This window comes from Homo sapiens, chromosome 2 (genome assembly GCF_000001405.40).
Source record: "Homo sapiens chromosome 2, GRCh38.p14 Primary Assembly".
Classification (NCBI taxonomy): domain Eukaryota; kingdom Metazoa; phylum Chordata; class Mammalia; order Primates; family Hominidae; genus Homo; species Homo sapiens.
The window spans coordinates 235,050,901-235,071,136 of record NC_000002.12 but is presented as its reverse complement, the minus strand read 5'-3'; the positions used below and the strand labels follow the sequence as shown (position 1 = coordinate 235,071,136).

At 47.1% G+C, this 20,236-nt stretch overlaps 1 protein-coding gene across 11 annotated transcripts in view, besides 4 other annotated features; it reads right to left on the bottom strand.

Annotated features, from left to right (window-relative positions):
• Positions 518-812: a silencer, noted in NCBI's record as "tiled region #6954; K562 Repressive non-DNase unmatched - State 24:Quies". NCBI's record gives its function as "represses a minimal TATA promoter and a strong SV40 promoter by Sharpr-MPRA in K562 cells {active_cell/tissue: K562}" and the evidence as "EXISTENCE:reporter gene assay evidence [ECO:0000049][PMID:27701403]".
• Positions 8,658-9,158: an enhancer, noted in NCBI's record as "H3K4me1 hESC enhancer chr2:235970623-235971123 (GRCh37/hg19 assembly coordinates)". NCBI's record gives its function as "activates a minimal SCP1, AML or CMV promoter by ChIP-STARR-seq in primed H9 embryonic stem cells {active_cell/tissue: H9 hESC(primed)}" and the evidence as "EXISTENCE:reporter gene assay evidence [ECO:0000049][PMID:30033119]".
• Positions 14,978-15,272: a silencer, noted in NCBI's record as "tiled region #15714; K562 Repressive non-DNase unmatched - State 13:Ctcf". NCBI's record gives its function as "represses a minimal TATA promoter and a strong SV40 promoter by Sharpr-MPRA in K562 cells {active_cell/tissue: K562}" and the evidence as "EXISTENCE:reporter gene assay evidence [ECO:0000049][PMID:27701403]".
• SH3BP4 (SH3 domain binding protein 4) overlaps positions 15,423-20,236 on the bottom strand; it is a 103,698-nt gene continuing 98,884 nt past the window's right edge. For all 11 annotated transcript variants that reach the window (XM_047443849.1, NM_014521.3, NM_001371302.1 and 8 more), the window contains 2 exons: positions 18,387-18,575; positions 15,423-17,545 (listed from right to left, as the gene is read on the bottom strand). In XM_047443849.1, coding sequence (XP_047299805.1) covers positions 17,321-17,545; positions 18,387-18,575 — 414 coding nt within the window. In that variant the 3' untranslated portion in view covers positions 15,423-17,320. The remainder of the gene's footprint in view (positions 17,546-18,386; positions 18,576-20,236) is intronic.
• Positions 17,901-18,862: an enhancer, noted in NCBI's record as "H3K4me1 hESC enhancer chr2:235960919-235961880 (GRCh37/hg19 assembly coordinates)". NCBI's record gives its function as "activates a minimal SCP1, AML or CMV promoter by ChIP-STARR-seq in naive H9 embryonic stem cells {active_cell/tissue: H9 hESC(naive)}" and the evidence as "EXISTENCE:reporter gene assay evidence [ECO:0000049][PMID:30033119]".

The window sequence follows — 20,236 nt, the reverse complement described above, 5'->3', positions numbered from 1 at the left end:
TAGGATTGTTTTCTTCTAATTCTGTGAAGAATGATGGTGGTATTTTGATGGGAATTGTGTTGAATTTGTAAATTGCTTTTGTCAGTATGGTCATTTTCACAATATTGATTCTACCCATCCATGAGCATGTGATGTGTTTCCATTTGTTTGTGTCATCTATGATTTCCTTCAGCAGTGTTTTGTACTATTCCTTGCAGAGCTCTTTCACCTCCTTGGTTAGGTATATTCCTAAGTATTTTATTTTTTTGCAGCTATTGTAAAAGGGGTTGATCCATGCAGTTATCCTGCATAGAAAAGGCTTTCAGTTAAAATTCAAGGAAACTCACAGGAATAAAGTTGATCTTACTTCATTCGACTTGAACTCTGTGTAGATGGAAGTCTTATGCCCCACATGCAGTCACTCTCTGCACTCTTAAAGACTTATTTGGTCATTTGGTTCAAGATCATTTCTTGTCAATTCAGCTCCCACTTTCTCCATCAATCCACCAGACTCATTCTCTGCTCCACCTGTGTCATGTAGTTTTATCAAAATAAAACTTGAGTAGTTAAAAATCATGCCAGTACATTCATCTTAGATTCCAGTGGCACTAGTGAATGCAGATTGTGAGTCATATCCCCTGGCTGCACCTTCACAATGGGGTATTAGGCCAGTTTTTAGCCCCAGTTGATCCAGGAATCTGTGCTTGCCAGCTCACAGGGCAAACAAAGCCATACATGGCAGACTCCACTTGGGGCCTGAATAATTTCTCTCTACTTCTATTCTTCCCAACAAGCAGCACCCCTAGGGGTACATGGTTAGACTGTAACCAATGAGTGAACACAATCCTCCCCACCTCACCCCAGGCTCCCTATAACCAGGGGCAGCCATGGGGCACAGCTCTGCTAATGCAATGCAACAGAATTCCACTGAATGCAGTCACCTGCAAAGTCTTTGTTTCCCTTTCACAAAGAGAGAGACTGAGCTGGCAGAGCCCCCTCCCCTTCCTCCTGCCTGAAAAATGGACCTGACACCCAGAGGTACAGCAACTGTCTTGACTGTGGGACAAAGCTACACTCTAAGGGTGGCTATGCATTCTGAGTAAGGGACGCTCACCCACCCTGGACAACACATTAGGTGAGAAAATGAAACCTTTTCTTTGCCACATCTGCTCTTGGTTGGGTTCCTGCTGCAGCCTGTGGAATGCAATCCTGCAGACTGGTAGAGGTGCAGGTGCCTGTTGTGGGTGTGCTTTGCCTGATGTGTATTTGCTGAGAACATCTGGGCAAGGTGTGCCTGGGCATCACAGCCAGTAAGTAGGTCTCTGGAGACTAATGGCCTCACACCTTCATTTTGTTTAGCTTTGTACGAGACAGTCCCTCACCAATACTCACTAACCTTTGAACAATATACTGACATCCTCCTTTGCCTACCTCCAGGCTAATAGTTATTAAGCTTTTATGGATCACGAGCCTCTGTGAGACTCTATTAAAAACTCTTGTGGATCACAAACCTGTGTGAGAATCTATAAAAAACTCTGGATAACCTCCTCAGAAGATGCACAGGCCAAAATTAACAAAACACTTGTGCATCATTCTGAGGGTTTCATAGACCCCCTGATATGGTTTGTCTGTGTCCCCACCCAAATCTCACCTTGAATTATAGCTCCCATAATTCCCATGTGTCATGGGAGGGACCTGGCGGGAGATAATTGAATCATGGGAGTGGTTTCCCCCATACTGTTCTCATGGTGGTGAATAAGTCTTATAAGATCTGATGGTTTTAGAGGGGAAACCCCTTTAGCTTGGTTCTCTTTTTTTCTCTTGTCTGTTGCCATGTAAGATGTGCCTTTCACCTTCCACCATGGCTGTGAGGCCTCCCCAGCCATGTGGAACTGTGAGTCCATTAAATCTCTTTTTATTTATAAATTACCCAGTCTCAGGTGTGTCTTTATCAGCAGCATGAAAACGGACTAATACACCCCCTAAAGCCCATCCATGGATCCTGGCTGCAAAAGTCTTGTAGGCATACACAATTAGTTTTGATTATCTGTCTGTATATTCCCACTTTGTTGATTAACAACATGTTAATTAGGTACTTGTTTGATTTTTAATTTTGCAAATTGGGATATTTGCTCTATTCCTTCGGTACTTACAGCCAATTCTAAATTGCTCTCATTTCATAAATTATCTGTCACAAAAAAGTCTGTAGAATTATGAAAATTACATTGGCACTGAGAAAGATGCTAAACAACATAAAAGGATACACAGTGGAAACTGGGTCCTTTTCCAAATGTTGATCTGCGGGTCCCAGCAAACCCATCACTAAGTTTCTTGAGTGTCATTTTAGAAATACTTCACGTACAGCTCTATTTTTTTTCTTTCACTATAAATGAGATATTTTATACTCACTGCTCTCTTTTTTCCCCTTATTGTATCTTGGAAAGCCTTTCACACCAATAATGATAGAGTTGCCTTTTCCCTTTTAATGGTGGAACAGGATGCCATTGTATAAATGTAGTGCAAGCTATCTAACTACTCCATTATTGATAGACATTTACATTGCAGCAAATTTTAAAATCACTCTTGGTTCAGGAGGTCTGTGGGCTGTCTCCATGCCAGCCGTCCAAGTGTGCAGAGAGAATACAAACTAATTATATCTGCTTGGCCAAAGGAAATTAAAAACAAAAAGCATCAAGCCGATGGCAAATCTTTCTCCACTTCTTACTGTCCTCTTCATGTCAGGAGTGAGAAATTACAATTTTTGCTATTTACCACTTTGAATTAAGTCACTATTTATTTCTCTTGCTGGGGTTTTTGACTCAGAAAACTATCACCTGAGCATGATGGCAGCAGGATACTGCACGCACATTAGAGCCTTGGAGCTGCATTTAGATTTCAGCTCCACACTTCCTAGCTGTGTGACCTTGGGAAAGTTACTTAACCCCCCTGTGCCTCATTTTTTTTTAAACTATACTTTAAGTTCTGGGGTACATGTGCAGAACGTACAGTTTTGTTAATTCTGTCTACTTTACAGGCTATTGCCAGAGTCAAATGAGCTAAAAATCTCTAAAGTGCTTAGGACTGTGATGGGCACAGGGTAAGTGCTAAGTGAGCCTTGGCTGTTATTAGTCCGGGTGGCCTAGGAATAAAACTGGAGCCGCTTTTGCTTCTGTAGTCATGGTGTTGCCCAGGGTAAGGAATGCCAGGAACTGGGCTTGTCTCAGAACCCTCCTTGAACCTGGTGGAGACACACACACAGACACACACACACACACACACACACACACACACGAATACCTCACCTGCATACCTCCCAGGGACTTACAGAGGCCTACTACACAGGTACCAGTGTGCAAAAGGGACCTGAGCAAAGTCCTGTCTGAAGATTGGCATCAGCCAGATGTGAGGACTGTGGATCTGCCCGTGTGGTACCTTCCACAGAGACAGGGAGCCTCTGTCCATCCAAACAGCCATGGCCCTTAGTCCCTGAACACATAGCCTCAGGTCAGCCCCAGGCCTTAGCCTGGCCAGGGGCACATGCTGTCCTGTTTCGGAGTTTCCAGCAAGGGGATAAAAATCACTCTCTCAGGCCAGGCGCGGTGGCTTATGCCTGTAAACCCAGCACTTTGGGAGGCCGAGACGGGCGGATCACAGGAGGTCGGGGGTTCAAGACCAGCCTGATCAACATGGAGAAACTCCATATCTACTAAAAATACAAAAAATTAGCTGGGTGTGGTGGCACATGCCTGTAATCCCAGCTACTCAGGAGGCTGAGGCAGGAGAATTGCTTGAACCCGGGAGGCGGAGGTTGCGGTGAGCCGAGATCGCGCCATTACACTCCAGCCTGGGCAACAAGAGCGAAACTCCGTCTCAGAAAAAAAAAAAAAAATCACTCTGTGATGCACAGAAAGCCTGAGACAGACACTGGGTAGAGAGAGGGGTCCATTGCTAAGCCCTGGCTGGCTTCTTTATCCCTCTCAGCAGGGGCAGCCCAACAGGTCCCAGTCACGTGGTCTGCATCAAGCAGGCTCCCTGAACACGACTGCCTGGATTTTAATTAAAGTTCAGCAGGAGGTGACTGCAAGTCCAACAATGATTGGAAGCCAGGAGGTGCAGAGGGAAGAGGCTGGAGCTGTGGCTGCTGAAATATTTAGAAATCACAAACAGAATCCCCCCTCCTCCCCTCCTCTCCAGACACGGAAGTCATTTGTTTCTTTTCTGTCTAGAATTTTACCAAAAAAATCAAAAATGGAGCTTGTCCTCACACTTTAGGACACGGAAGAATCCGATGGAAAGCTTGCTAAATTGCAGATTCCTGGGCCTCCACAGGCATCAGATTCAGGAGGCCTGGGAAGGTCTTGGAAGCTGCATTTTTAGCAGGCTTTCTCCTGCTGAGTTTTCTTCAGGAGCTCCATGGGCTACACTTAAAGACACAGACGAGTGGTCACAGCAACTATGTTTTCAGAATGATATTAAATAGTGGAATTCTTTCATTTTCTCCAGATTACTAGGCTGGTAGCCAGTCGGCCTCCTCTCAGAGCTGTGAATGAAAGAAAATACATGGAAATCCAAGATAATAATTATATTTCAACCAGAGCTCTGTTGTGATCTGGCTGACTTGCAAAATGCCCAAATAAGATACTTTTATAAAAATTTCAATAATGTGGCTGGGTGCCATGGCTCATGCTTGTAATCCCAGAACTTAGGGGGTTCGAGGTAGGAGCATGGCTTGAGGCCAGTAGTTCGAGACCAGCCTAGGCAACATGGCAAGATCTCATCTCCACTAAAAGTTAAAAAAGAAAAAAAAATAGCCGAGCATGGTGGTGGCACACAGCTGTGGTCCCAGCTACTTGGGAGGCTGCAGTGGGAGGATCACTTGAGCCCAGGAGGTTGAGGCTGCAGTGAGCTGTGATGGTACCACTGCACTCCAGCATGGGTAACAAGAAAGAGACTGCCAAAAAAAAAAAAATTCAATAATGTAAGGAAAACATATTTTTTTAAAAAATGTATTTATTTATTTATTTATTTTAAGATGGGGTCTCGTTATGTTGCCCAGACTGGCCTCGAACTCCTGGCCTCAAGCAATGCTCCCATCTCAGCCTCCCAAAGTGTTGGGATTACAGGCATGAACCACTGTGCCTGGCTTAGAAAACGTATTTTTAGGACATTTTGAAAATAGTGATACTAGTAATGACACTAAGAAACTGCTTTGTTTGAAGTGAAGTGTGAGTAACCATACAAAGCTCTTTCATTGAAGGAGAGAAAGCTGCCTGACTACAGCAAAGTACTTTAATAATATTTGAAGTAGGATTTTGGAATATTGTTACATGCACGTCACAAACAGAAAATGGAGTTGTTTTTGCTTGGATATGAATTTCTGAATGCAAAAAAATTATCCTTGTTCTGATATTCTTGTGCCTGGCATAGTGACATCAACCTTTGGTATATCTCTGTATAAACCTAATATTCTGTATAAACCTAATATTTATGGTTTATTCTGTATAAACCTAATATTTGAAAAATGATAGCTATCTCCCAGGTCCTGGGAAAAAATCCGTAAATCTCCAGGGTCCGTGTGAATTATTTTTAAGTAGGTCGAGTGCCCTGAGTCCCTCAACACACATCCCCTTTCCTGTCTTTAATTTCTCAGCTCATCTATCCATGGAAAATGTGATAATGAGGAATATGTAAAGGTGTTGTACAAAGCTCCTGGAAGAACTGGAATCTGACTTTCTAAAGATATTTTTAATGCATAATAATATACTTATGAATTCACTGGCTGTGCAAAGAATCCACGCTGTCCAGCACTCCCATAAACAGGCACAGAATTGCGTTTGTACCTGTCAGTGTTACAGGTTGTTATGCTGATCTGTCGGTGTGAATTTTGCTGTAAATTCCTCATTCTGTGTATGTTGGTTCTAACCAGGCTCGGGATAAAAAATGTAAGTGACTCAGTTCTCTGGATCTTTTCTCTCCTAGACAAAAAGGATGGCTCTGAGCCTCCTGGAGTTGCCAGGCAACCTCCCTATCCCCCCTCTGCCTGCCTTGGGCTGGCTCAGGTGTCAGGGGACTGTTCAGAGAGAACTTTCAACCCCCAGAAAGCTCACCTGAGGCTACAGATGTCCACCAAGCGTACCCACACTTGCTATTCTCTCCTACGTGGGATCGTCTACACCCTGGGTGTGAACTGATTTTGCACTTCGAGTGCAGAAAAATATGTGGGTGTGTGAAAAATAAAGCAAGCACTTGTTATTCCAAAGTGTGAGCTTCAGCTGAGTTAAACATACGTAACATTATAGCGGGAAGACCAACAAACTAAAAACGAGTAGAGATGAAACTTTCTAGAACACGGTCTGGATTCACCCACAAAACATGTATTTGTTAGATTAAGAAAGAAGGAGTCGGCTGGGGGTGGTGGCTCACGCCTGTAATCCCAGCACTTTGGGAGGTCGAGGCGGGGAGATCACAAGGTCAGGAGTTCGAGACCAGCCTGGCCAACCTAGTAAAACCCCGTCTCTACTAAAAGTACAAAAAATTAGCCAGGCGTGGTGGTGGGCACCTGTAATCCCAGCTACTCCGGAGGCTGAGGCAGAAGAATCGCTTGGACCCAGGAGGCAGAAGTTGCAGTGAGCCGAGATTGTGCCACTGCACTCCAGCCCAGGCGACAGTGCGAGAATCCATCTCAATAAAAAAAAGAAAGGAGCACCACAAGGTACTCACAAAGCTATTCAGGCACTGGGACCTGGCCTCCATGCCCCTGAGGAAATTTCTCTGAAGATTTCATTCATCCAAGAATGTATTGAGTGTGAGGTTGAATTTATTGAGTGTGAGTCCAGCGCTGTGACATCCTCCTTGTCCAGTTCACAGTCTGTGGGGTACACCAGGCAAAGACTCAGCTGTGATACAGAGAGATTCAAGTTCTATTTGTGGTGAGGTCAGAGAGCTATGGGAAAACAAAGGAAGGACCTTTCGCAGAGGGAGCATCTGAGAAGACTCACCTAGGAGCGTGATTTGCAGAGCTGAATCCTGAAGGAGTAAACAGAGCAGGAAGTCAAGGTGTTCATCTGAAGGCAACAAAATTGCCAAGTGTTGATTCTTCACCAAAGGGGCTTATTAAAGGGGACCTGGGCGATTCACAGTAGGGCTGGGAGAGCTGAGCCCCACACTCAGTGCTAAGCTTCCAGGAACCCTGTCCAGAACTGGCCTGGTGACAAAAGTGTGGCTGCAGTGGGCGTGCCTGGCACTAGAGCAAACTGCCATGGCTGTGTGTCCCCCACAGACCCTCGGCCGGGTCAGGAGCTCACCCCCGTGACCACTGCTGCCCTGACGCTCCCGCCGGCTCTCTTCCCTCCTTCTGCATGAATCGGAGCCTCAGAGTCCAAGCTCCACGTGGTGGACTCTGGTCATACGCTTATATTTAGCTGCTAGGGAAGCTGTGAGTTTATGTTTTAAGGGTCCCAAATATAGCGAGAGAGTTTCCAAGGTGCTGAGCACACAGACGATATGACAAAGGCCACCCTCCCAGTGAGGGCAGAAATAGCCACAAGGGCAGACAGCCATGGAAATGCTGCAGGCAGGCGTCCCGTTTCTCCCTCCCTGTGTTCAACAACACAAGTCCGGAACAATGTGTGATGTATTATCGGCCAGCCTTTCACCTTACCAAGCGAGGCATTAAAACACCAAAACAACTCCTGCCACTACAATCCCCTGTCACCTTCAGTCACCAGGATATAGGACATTTTAACACGAGAAAGGAGTGAAGGGCTTAATCTCAGGATCAGAGACAGTTATTTGATGTGCATCAATGTGGCCTCATGAAAATCCTCTGTGCGCTGTCTTTTCTTCTCTCATTTTTCAGGTACCAGTGAAAGCTTCATCGGGACCCACAATGACCTCCAAGCTGGCATTTGGGAGCCTCCATTCATCGGCTGAAACCAGGGGACTGCTGATGGCAGAGGCTAAGCAGGAGAGGGGTATGAATCCTTTTTTTTTTTTTTTTTTTGAGACAGAGTCTTGTTCTGTTGCCTAGGCTGGAGTGCAGTGGCACAGTCTCGACTCCCTGCAGCCTCTGCCTCCTGGGTTCAAGCGATCCTCCCACTTCAGCCTCCCTAGTAGCTGGGATTACAGGAGTGTGCTATCACACCCATCTAACTTTTTGTGCTTTTAGTAGAGATGAGGTTTCACCATGTTGGCTAGGTTGGTCTTGAATTCCTGACCTCAAGTGATCCACCCACCTCAGCCTCCCAAAGTGCTGGGATCATAGGTGTGAGCCACTGCACCTGGCCTGAATCCAATTTTTAACTTATTTTGTATTTTATTTTATTTTAAGACGGAGTCTTGCTCTTGTCGCCCAGGCTGGAGTGCAGTGGCATGATCTCTGCTCACTGCAACCTCCGCCTCTCAAGTTCAAGTGATTCTCCTGCCTCAGCCTCCCAAGTAGCTGGGATTATAGGCACACACCACCACACCCAGCTAATTTTATATTTTTAGTGGAGACAGGGTTTCACCATATTAGTTAGACTACTCTCAAACTCCTGACCTTGTGTGCCCCGCTCACCTTGGCCTCCCAAAGTGCTTGGGATTACAGGTGTGAGCCACCGTGCCTGGCCTGAATCCATTTTAGAAGGACCCTTCTGGGGGCCATGGAGGATCAGCTGATGGGATAAGGCTGGAATTGCAGTTACAGGGAGAGGTGACAGTGCACAGAAGTACAGCAGTAGCTGTGGCGAGGGAAGAAAAGCGATGGAAGGCAGTTGAATCAGACGCCTAATGACCAACTCAATGGGTGGATGCATGAGGGGCTGCTGACCAGGTTTCTACGTATTTTCACCTTTTCTTCTCACTGGCCGTCTCTCAAAGGCCTTTAACCTCAGGTCCATGATCTTCCAGCTACACCTTACATCCTCCCATTCAGAGCCGAGTCCTAGATCTGCTTCCCCTCCTGCTCCCCCATCTGTGTCTTACTCAGCTTCTCCCCACACCACAGCCTCCACCCCTCCTCTCCCCACGTACAGCAAAGCCGTTCAACACAGCTTAGGCCACATTCTCTCAGGACACCAGTGCCTCTTGGCCCAACCCGCTCCTGTCCAGCCAAACGGCAGACTGAGTTGACCCTCCCTCCTCCATCTCTGTCTGCCTTCCCATTCCTGGGACTCTTCGGGCCCAGCCAGGCACTGCCTGAAGGTCCCACGGCCTCTGCCTCCCTGTCTGCCATTCCAGGCTGCTCGCCACTGGCCCGTCTTCTCATCTCTCTTAGTCCATTTGCACTGCTCTAACGAATGCCCAGCGCTGAGTGGTGTCAAGACAACAGAAATGTATTTCTTAGTTTGGAGGCTGGGAGGCCAAGATCACAGCTTGGGCAGGTTCGTGGGCTGGTGAGGGCTGCTCTCTGCTTCCAAGACGGAGCCTTGCTACCATCAAAGGGGAGCAATGCTGTGTCCTCACGGGCAGGGCAGAGGGGCAAGGGTGCCAAACGCTACTTGAAACCTGTTTTTTTGTTTGTTTGTTTTTTGAGACGGAGCTTCGCTCTTGTCACCTAGGCTGGAGTGCAATGGCACGATCTTGGCTCACCGCAACCTCCGCCTCCCAGGTTCAAGCAATTCTCCTGCTGCAGCCTCCGGAGTAGCTGGGATTACAGGCACGCTCCACCATGCCTGGCTAATTTTTTGTATTTTTAGCAGAGATGGGGTTTCACCATGTTGGCCAGGCTGGTCTTGAACTTCTGACCTCAGATGATCAGCCTGCCTCGGCCTCCCAAAGTGTTGAGATTATAGGTGTGAGCCACCGTGCCTGGCCAAAGCGTCTTTTTTTTAAGGGCCGTAATCGCATTCTCGAAGGCAGCAGCCTTCCTGATCTCATCACTGTTTAAAGACCCACCTCTCCATCCCACTGCACTGGGCGTTACTTTTTAACACCTGGTGTTTCTAGACACATCCAACCATAGCTCATCCCACTCTAATCCCCCCTTGCCCTTTTAAAAGCAACTTACACTCCAGCTTCTCTGAGCTGCTCACTCTTCCCCAGACTTCACCTCACTGGGGAGGCCTTCCAGGCTACCCTGCTCCAGCCTCGCCCCGGCCAGTGCATCACTGATTTTTCTTCCTAGCACCTCCCTCTCCCTGATCATATGAATTTAGTTTGTTCCTATTTCCCCACTAGCATGTGGGCTCCATGGGGACAGGGACCCTAACCCCGGGCCTAGAACAATGCCTGGCAAATAGAAAATCAGTGTCTATCAATTAATAAACACCTCTCCCTGCCCTTTCTGTATCTTCTCAGGACCCCAACCTGCCTTGGGAGGCTCTTCTCACAGCCTTGGCATACCCAGCCGCAGTAGCATCCAAAGTTCCATCAAGCAGCAGGCGCTCTCCTCTTCCTCAAGCACTTTCTCTGTCCACTGATGACAATGCTGCCATCTCCCTTGAATTTCAGGTGTTTGTTCCTGGGTCTTTTTTTTTTTCTTTCTTTCTTTCTTTTTTTTTTTTTTTTTTTGAGACGGGGTTTTTGCTCTGTCACCCAGGCTGGAGTACAGTGGTGCAATCTCAGCTCACGGTGGCAACCTCCACCTCCATGGTTCAAGCGATTCTCGTGTCTCAGCCTCCTGAGTAGCTGGGATTACAGGCACTCACCACCACGCCTGGCTAGTTTTTGTGTATTTAGTAGAGACGGGGTTTCACCATGTTGGCTAGGCTGGTCTCGAACTCCTGACCTCAAGTGGTCTGCCTGCCTCTGCCTCCCAAAGTGCTGGGATTACAGGCATGAACCCAGTGCTCCTGGCCTGCTTGTGTGTGTTGATCTTCCTCATTGGATACAAACTCCTGGAGGCCCAGGAACCATCTCTTTCTCCCTTGCTGTTCCTTGGACCCTCTGTGTGCCCAGGACTGACATGGGCCGACCTGTCTCTGACGAGCAGTGAGTCGACCCTCCATCAAGCTGCCCGTAGCTCACTAATATGTATGCTGCACCCTCCCAAAATGAAAATTACATCGAAAGTTGTAATATATATATATATATATATATATGATATAAGCACACAGATTTTTTAAAAAGCCAATTGAAATGGAAAATTAAGAAAGATGACTCTAGATACTTAAAAAGTCACAAGCACAGCCCATTAATTTCTTCACATTTTCCTTCTCCCTCATGAAGCAGAAAACTCTATCAGAGAAGCAAAGCTTTAAAAATACAATTCTTGCTAGCCTGGAGCAGAAAATACTAATACAAGCACTTAAAAAATGTGTACAGCAAATCTGGGTGACTTCAGTTTCCTTAGGACAAGCTCTTTTTTCTTTAATAAAGGGAAAACATTACATCTTTATTTTCATTAACCTGAACATTGGCGCTTCCTTCAAGAATGCACCTAGGCAAGGAACCTCTCTAATATTAGGAGTTCCCGTAATGTGCCAAACATAGAAATCTCTGATATTTTTATTTCCATCAATGCTTTTGCAGGTATCTAAATGCTCATCACTATTTTGAGTTTCCGGGGGATGTAAGATTAACTACTAGATTGTGTTATTTAATGCATAAAGAAGTATATATATTACACCACAATTTCTAAAAATTGTTGGTAATTGTATGTAAACATAATTGCTTTCATCTGTGATCTCAGGGTTTTTATGTGTATTTCCATAATACTGAGGAGTTTATAGCCTTTCTCAAACTGCCAGAGGTGTTGACCTATGGCACAGAAAGAGCTAAGTTGCTCATTTCAATCTATTTTACATAAAGCCAAATTTTATTGCAGCATAAATCATGGACCAAACTGACAATGTTTCCCTCATGCCAGAAAATGATTCATTAAGGAATATAATGGTTCTTGGTATACACTTCATTGAGCTCCATCCCTGCAAGCTTCCTCTTTGACCTCTTAAAATCCAAGCTGGTTTTGATGCATTCATTGGTGGACAACTTTTCGCACATCTCTTACATTGGTTGTAAACATAGCATGAAGCCCATTCTATTCAGTCCAATAGCCAAAGCCATCTTATTTGGAGATGCATTTCTATTGCAGAGATAGGAACAATTCCTTCAAGAAACCAGTATTGACTGTGCTAGGCTCTTGGGATTCAGAGATGAGCCAAGACAAGGTCACTGTCCTCAAGGAGCTCAGTGTGTGACTCTGCCAGGTGGGGAAGGAAAGGTGCCACAGCCTGGACACAGCTTAGACCAACACAGGGAGGTTTACAAAAAGATGGTCAAGGGAGTGCTGGAGGAAGTCCGTGTGTGCGAGGACATAGCAAAGGGGGTGAGCCCAGAGTTGACCACACAGAAGGATGCAGGAAGGGCTCCTGTGAAAGGAGTCCTTTGTCCTATGGATAGGGGAGGACAGAATTGGAGGGAGGACCAGGGGGAGGGTGTTGGAGTAGCTTGGTCAAAAAGAAAGAGGATGAGCATCCAGGAAAAAAAAGTCTTAATTCTGGTCATGGCAGTAGGAATGGTTGTGAAACCTATGAGTTGCTGGAATCTGGACCACTGATGGGGAAAGGTCCCAGGACCGAGTCTGAGCTTGGGCACTACTGTGGGGTGATGGATACTCAGAGGGGCTGGGGGCTGGAGGATTACAAAATAACTGACTTGACACATGCCCCAAGTGACTTGACAGAAAGATGGCCAGGTGCAGATCAAGGCAAGAATTAATCAGGGACAAAATTTTCCTTTCGTCGAGAAGTCAGAGCCTAACTCTTTTCTAACTAAATCTTTTCTCCTGAATGAGGTCCTAAAGAACATCTACAAATACCATAATGTTATGTTAATTATCATTCTCAACAACATCAATGTCAAAATCAGTATCAATGAAAAACTGGAGGTTTAACTGAACTGCTTGGCCTGGCCTCGGAGTATTAGGGAGAAAAGCCATTTATATTCAGACTGGTACTGACCAATTGTGAACACATTTAGGCCAAGAAAAAATAGTGTGGAAGGGGTGTTCTTGTTGCTGGAAATAATCTGGCTGTGACCATCTCACACCAGTTAGAATGGTGATCATTAAAAAGTCAGGAAACAACAGGTGCTGGAGAGGATGTGGAGAAATAGGAACACTTTTACACCGTTGGTGGAACTGTAAACTAGTTCAAGCATTGTGGAAGACAGTGTGGCGATTCCTCAGGGATCTAGAACTAGAAATACCATTTGACCCAGCCATCCCATTACTGGGTATATACCCAAAGGATTATAAATCATGCTGCTATAAAGACACATGAACACGTATGTTTATTGCAGCACTATTCACAATAGCAAAGACTTGGAACCAACCCAAATGTCCAACAATGATAGACTGGATTAAGAAAATGTGGCACATATACACCATGGAATACTATGCAGCCGTAAAAAATGATGAGTTCATGTCCTTTGTAGGGACATGGATGAAGCTGGAAACTATCATTCTCAGCAAACTGTTGCAAGGACAAAAAACCAAACATCGCATGTTCTCACTCATAGGTGGGAATTGAACAATGAGAACACATGGACACAGGAAGGGGAACATCACACACTGGGGCCTGTTGTGGAGTGGGGGGAGGGGGGAGGGATAGCATTAGGAGATATACCTAATGTAAATGACAAGTTAATGGGTGCAGCACACCAACATGGCACATGTATACATATGTAACAAACCTGCACGTTGTGCACATGTACCCTAGAACTTAAAGTATAAAAACAAAAACAAAAAAAAAAACAAGACAGCATCTTTAACTTGGTTGCACCATCGACAATGAATAACACGGTTCTAAGCTTCAGTTTCCTTCTCTGAAAATAGGAATAATAATAAAATTAATAATAATATTTTAAAAAAATAATAATCCAGCTGTGGTAGGGATGTTTCCCAGTTAAGAACAAGCTGCATTCCCCGCCAGCTTGTGGATTACAGTGATCATCTGGGTCTAAAAGCAACACCAGCCACTGTAACAGCTAACTCACCTTCTCGGTGGCCAATCATAGTTTTATCTCTCTAGATACCGTGTGACAGACACTTTGCTGAACAGAGCTTACTGGGGGTCCCTAAGGGATCTGGGGTCCTTCTATCTGCCCCTGCCTCACCTTTAGGGACTTGGAGTTCCTCCTGATCAGTTGGAAGAAGGGAGGATTTCTGGAAGGTTCCTGTGAGCCAGACTCAACAGCAGGCGGCCCATAGCATTCTGGTTCCCATCTCCTAGCTGGACCGCACCTGACTGCAAGGGAGATGGGGAAAGACAGCCCAGTCGCTGGCTCAGGAAGAGGATGGGTCTTGGGGGAACATGGCAGTCCATCAGAAGAGCTTTCTCCTTTTAAGAATTGCCTTCCTCCACCCTGGCTTTGCTTTGTGTTGGGCGGAGGGCACCAAGATAGATTAAACCTGATTCGTGCACTGTTCTTCCCAAGCAGGCTACGCCCAAAGGGCCAGGCATGGAGCAGGGTGGTGAGTGAATTGTGCCTCTCAAAAAGACGTGTCCAAGTCCTAAACCCCGCTGTGAATGTGACCCTACTTAGAAACAGGGTCATCATAGGTGTGATCAAGTTAAGATGAGGTCTTGATGGATTAGGGTGGGCTCTAAATCCTATGACTGGTGTCCTTAGAGAGAGATTTAGTCACAGACATGGAGAACAAGCGACCATGTGATACCTTGATTTCAGACATCTGGCCTCAAAAACGGTGACAGCACACATTTCTGTTGTCCTTAGCCATGCAGGGCACTTTGTTACGGCAGTCCTGAGTTAAGGTCCCTGCCTCTCTTATTGGCTGTGTAAATTATGGGACCACATTGAGCCCTGTCCTTAACTGCAAAATGGGTATGAGGACCCAGCTGGTAGGTGATGCATGGTGGAATTAACACAGGTACAAGCGGTGGAAAGCATCCAGGTAACAGAGGGCTTGTGCTCACTCCACAAGTCCCAGCCACGTGGAGGGTTTAGCCTCTCCTTGCCCCACGTACCGTGTCGTCGATGCTGCCGACACACTGGTCCCCAGGGCTGGTCTGTTGGTGGTCTAGCTGGCTCCCACTCAGCCTTCAAGCCTTTCATCAAAGTCATGTTCCCAAGAAAGATTTCCATTAGCCCCATTCCTCCCCCTACCTCCAGGTGGAGCTGGTCTCCATTAGGAGTCCTTCACTCCTTTCTCCCCCACAACACGGTCTTCCTAAAGCACGGTCTGCCCTTGTTTGCCACAATCAGCACTTCAAGGCTGACACCTGACACACAGAAATGACTCCATCCTAAACTTTCTATTTCGGGACTGGGGTTGCCAATTCATGGGACCCAGAAAACAGCAAGTCATCGATGTGCTTTCCTTTGGGTGCCTGGTATAACACCAATTCCCATTTGGTTAGTGGTGACTGAGTGACTCGTGTTTCAAGAGCAAATTAAATGAATAGCAAGAAAATAGACACCTGCCACACCAGCTGTCCTACTGTCATCTAGGGGTGACTATTTTGGGGAGGCAGCCATTGGTGTATGTATAAATACGTACATTAGGTTTCATGTTTGTTTTATTTAAAGTCTGGTTGGGTACAGAAAACACACACACACTTAACAGGTTAAAATATCCAAATAAAATTTACTGCAACTTTTGTAGAATTTTATTTGTGCTACAAGACACGTTGCATAGGAAACTATTTAAAGCCCCTGAGGAAAAAATATCCATGGTTTAAGGTGCAACTGGTTTTGTTTCTTCTTTGGGGAAAAGGTGATAGATGGTCTCTGGGAGAAATTATGGGGTGGAGTTGAGAAGCACAATCGAAGGTTATATGGTGGGATGATTGGCGAATTGTGTGTCCTGGTTCTTGCAGCATAAAATAGCTAATGTTTGTTCTTTTTTTCAGTCCGTTGGTCTTCAGTATCTGAATAAGTAGCTATACAACGTTTCAGGCCAGTAAGGGAGTATACATTGATTATACTAAGGAAGTAACATGTTTCAAGAAAGCAGTTTTAGAGAATGAGATTCGGGATCCCAAATGGTCCCTGACAACTGCAGGCACACAGGAAGTGTCCTGGCACGTTGCTAAGGATCACCTCACTCTACTGATTTGCCAGTATCAGTCCTTCCTCCTGCTCCCTTCCAACACGCGACATCTACGACGCATTGTGAGATTCACACAGCATGTCTGCACCCTAAAGTTATTAATGCAACACTGTGTCAAGTTCCTGATTTTATGTGAGTCACATTTTCATTTTTACAAAATGCTCATCTTGCTCAGATGATCTTTACATTGTACAAAAAATGGTTTCATCTAAACTATGACTTCCTTCCGAGGAGACACAGGTACACCAGGAAGGAAGAGGGGTTAAGCCTTAGATGAAATGAAATGCAGAGTTTGGCAAATGGCAGCTGGCACCTCTGCACATCAGCATAAGGCGTTGCTTGTGAGGCCAACCACAGCATCTGCAATAAGCACGAGAGTCAGTGGCCACCAAGGCTCTGATTCGGTCATGAAGTTTTCTTCCTGTCCACAGAAGAGGCAGCAAACTCTATGGGAAGCACTGCTTTGACCTCAAGGAAAAAACAGTACAATGGCCTCGTAGCAGCAGGGACCACCTCACTCTCAAATGGCATTGTTCTTGTCAATGACTAATTGCACACTGGCAGGGGCCCTAAAGACTGTCAACTCATGGCTGCTTTCTAATCTATTGGCAGAAACAGCTCAGGGCACCTAAATGCTAATGCGGGACTTCACTCTGCCCACTGAAGCTCACCAAAGATTCACATATTCTATGGATGGTCATTTACTACGAGTGAGGCAAAGCACGGAAGACAATCAAATCCGAGGAGGGAGCAGGACCTGGGGCCTTCTCAGAAAGAATGAGCTGTACCCGTTTACTGAAAAGCCACTTTTTCCCACGTGATTCACCTTCTTACACGCAGGGAGTGAAAGAGGTCCAACAACCGAACGAGCATCTTTCCGGGCTGAGTGTTGAAATGCAAAGTGTGGCCGGGAATCAGAAACGCTCCCAGTGACCTTTAAATACCTATATACATCTCTAACATAATTTAAAAAGGTCTATAACAACATAAAAACCTCAACAGCCTGTGCCCCTATTTTCTTTTAAACCTTTATGGTCCATAAAAAAATTAGATACCACCTTTCTCATAGATCCCTTCCCCCCATTCGTTAAAAAAGTGATTTTAAATTTAAATTTATACTTAACAAATAGAAAGCTATGTGATTGGCAACGAGCTGCAGTAGGCAGTCCCTTCAGGCCTCTCCCTCGATGGAGGAGGGCGGCGCATGATGGGTGTAGCCTAGCTGGCGGGCCCTAAATCTGTCTGAGCAGCCGCCCCTTCCTCCCTCTTCAGCTCCGCGGTGACAGCAGGGCACGCAGGGCAGAAGAGGGCTTGCACTCCAGAGCAGCAGGAGGGGAGGGGACCCATTCAAATCACGAAGTCGTCCTGGTCCGCAGGGCTGAAGGCGGCTGCTCTCAGAACGTCCAGGGAGTTCACCAAGATCAGAGTCCCAGTGAGGTGCTTCCAGCGCTTGGTGATGGGGTTTTTCATCTTGTCCAGGCCCAGGTGCAGCTCCTGGATGACATCCCGGTAGCTGTCCCCGATCTGATGGCTCCAGGTGAGTAAGAAGTCATACGCAGGCTTCCACATGGCCTGGGAGGTGGAGTTGTAAAAAACAAAAGGAGGGAGAGAGGAAGAAAGATTAGGAGACAGAACGAGATTTGTTCCTATTACTTGGTGCAGCTTCAGTAGTCACTATTTGGGACACTCTTTCACGAGTGAGACAAGCCCACAGAAGAAACAGTGGAACCATCTCGGGGCCAGGGTCAGCACATTCCAGAGGGAAAAGCAGGGCTTTGTGCAAGAGTAGGTGCGCAACAAATGAATAAACAGAAAGGACTTCTCTTTCCTTACAATCTTTATGGCACTTTCTCTCTGTGCCATTTGTTTGGAAATTCATCCCATTCATAAAAGACAGCTTTGTCCTTGGGACTTCCTGCTTCCTGGATCTTGCAAGCCTGAACCGTCTTCCAGGAAGCTTACTAGGGTGCCCTCCACAAACATGCGAGAACACAAAGGACCTCTGAGCAAGAGCCCGGCCACACCGGCTTTGGCCCAAGTTATGTAACATACCAGGTATCACTCCAGTCCAGAGCGGCTCACAAAGTCCTCTGTGTATGTGTTATTGCATTATTCAACCCTACGGATGGTAATTTAAGATCAAAATGAACAAGGGACAGGCAGTTCTGTTTGTCCTTCCCATGTCGTGTGGAACAGCCTTGACATCCTAAAGCCAGGGCTCACGACAACCAATCCGGAGGATGGCTCCCACTCAGTGAGGCACACCCAGTGCTGGGCACATGCGTGCACATTTCCACCTGTTGCACCCTCACAGAAATGCCGCGAGGCAAGACTTTTTATGGCTGCACTGCATGGGTCCACGGAACCCAGGGACAGAGGGGCTCGGTGAGCTCGAAGCTCAGCCGCTGCTCACCTCGCTGTCCACAACCCCGTTCCTGTCCCGGTGGGGAGACTCGTAGGCGTCCATCTGCTGCTTGGAGACCTTGGCCAGCTTCTCAGCCAGCTCCCGCCAGCGCTGGGCCACCTCTACAGCCGTGGTCAGGAGCACAAAGTCCTGGATGAGTCTGACCACCAGGCCCTGGCAGTCCATCTTCAGTAGGGCCTGCAGAGGAAGAGGCACACAGCGTGAGACAGTGTAGGGAGTGGGGCAGGCTCTGCTCCCCGCAGAATTCCAGCAGACGGCGCAGGAATGGCCATGGGCTCTCTATTCTCCATGTTCCCTGGCCTACTACCAAATGTCCCCTGAAATCGATCACTGCCAGGATTCACGGGAGAAAAGAGATGATGTGCAGAGCGTGCCAGGTTCACCAGTGTCTCCCTCCAAAGCCCACATCCACCCAGAACCTCAGAACGTGACCTTACTTGAAAATGGGGTCTTTGCAGATAGAATTAAGATGAGGTCCCTCTGGATTAGAGGAAGTCACCAAGGACTGGCGTCTTCATAAGAAGAGAAAGCAGACAGAGAGGCAGAGAGAAGAAGGCCGTGTGAAGACGGAGGCAGAGACGGGACAGATGCGGCAACAAGCCAAGGAAAAGAAGGAGGGTTGAGCCAGTGGGGCTTAGGAGAGGCAGGCCTGCAACCCCTTCTCCCCCACTGCTTCCAGACGGAGGCCACCCTGGGACCCCTGACTGAGACCTGTGGCCTCCTGAATGGTGACAGGACAGGTGTCTGTTGTTTGATGTCCCTTGGTTTGTGGTCATTTGTCTTGGCAGCCCCAGGAAGCTAACAGACAGGGTGAATATGGATTAGAGTTGTCACCACTCCCACTCTCTGGGGACACCAGAGAGAAACGAATGCATTTCACCAAATAGACACCATAGCCTGAGGCCGAGACGGATGGAGGGCGAGCTGGACCTGCTGAGTGTGCGGTGCTGACATTGGCCAGTTAGAGAGCACCGCGGGTAGAAGGCTGGGGGACTCAGGCAGGGACCACCCAGGGAGAAGAAGACAGAGAACAGAAGAGGCCCTGGTCAGAGACAGGGTGTACCACCAAGAACCACGGTGACCAGGAGATGCACAGACCTCCCCCAGGACTGTGCAACATGAGAAAACGGTTTCCACAATTGGTGGGACTGCTCCCACGTCAAAGCTGCAAGAACTTTCTACTGTGTCTTTAGGACAGGGATTACTAACCACAGAGGAAGTCAGAGGGGAGGTAATAGGACAGACAGCCCTGCTGGGACAGTGAAGTCCCAGCTGAGGCTGGAACAACCACGTGGCCGCCTTGGGACTCAATTCCCTCCTAAAAACGGGGGCTGGATGGGACAGGCATTGAACATATGGCTAATATATCTGGGGGACCCCAGGCTGGGGTCAAACTCACACTTCTGGTTTAAAGAAACAAATCAAATTGGCTAGCACAAGACAGCAGGCCTGCTAGTCCTGTACACTGTGCCAAGTCACATGACTGCCACTGGGTGTCATGCAAGCGACTCTGGCGCCATCCTAATTATAAATGAGGCCACACATGGTTAGCGTGTGGCTCTGAGCCAGTCAGGATGACGTCACCAGGAAGGCAGGAGAGCCGCATGCTGGGTCTGATTCTTGTCTGAGTCTCCTCTGCCATAGAAGGCACAGCTCACCCCCACCCTTAAAGCTTTCTCTCATCCAACAATGGGAAAGGCTTGGCTTCCAGGGCACAGTGGCCTGAGGCAGCCCAGAGACGGTTTCTGAGGCTCCCGTGAGCCCCTGGACAGGCGAGTTGCTAAGAGAAGAGGAAAGTCACCAGTCCTGGCGTTCTTTCTCTCTACGCTCTGTTTCAG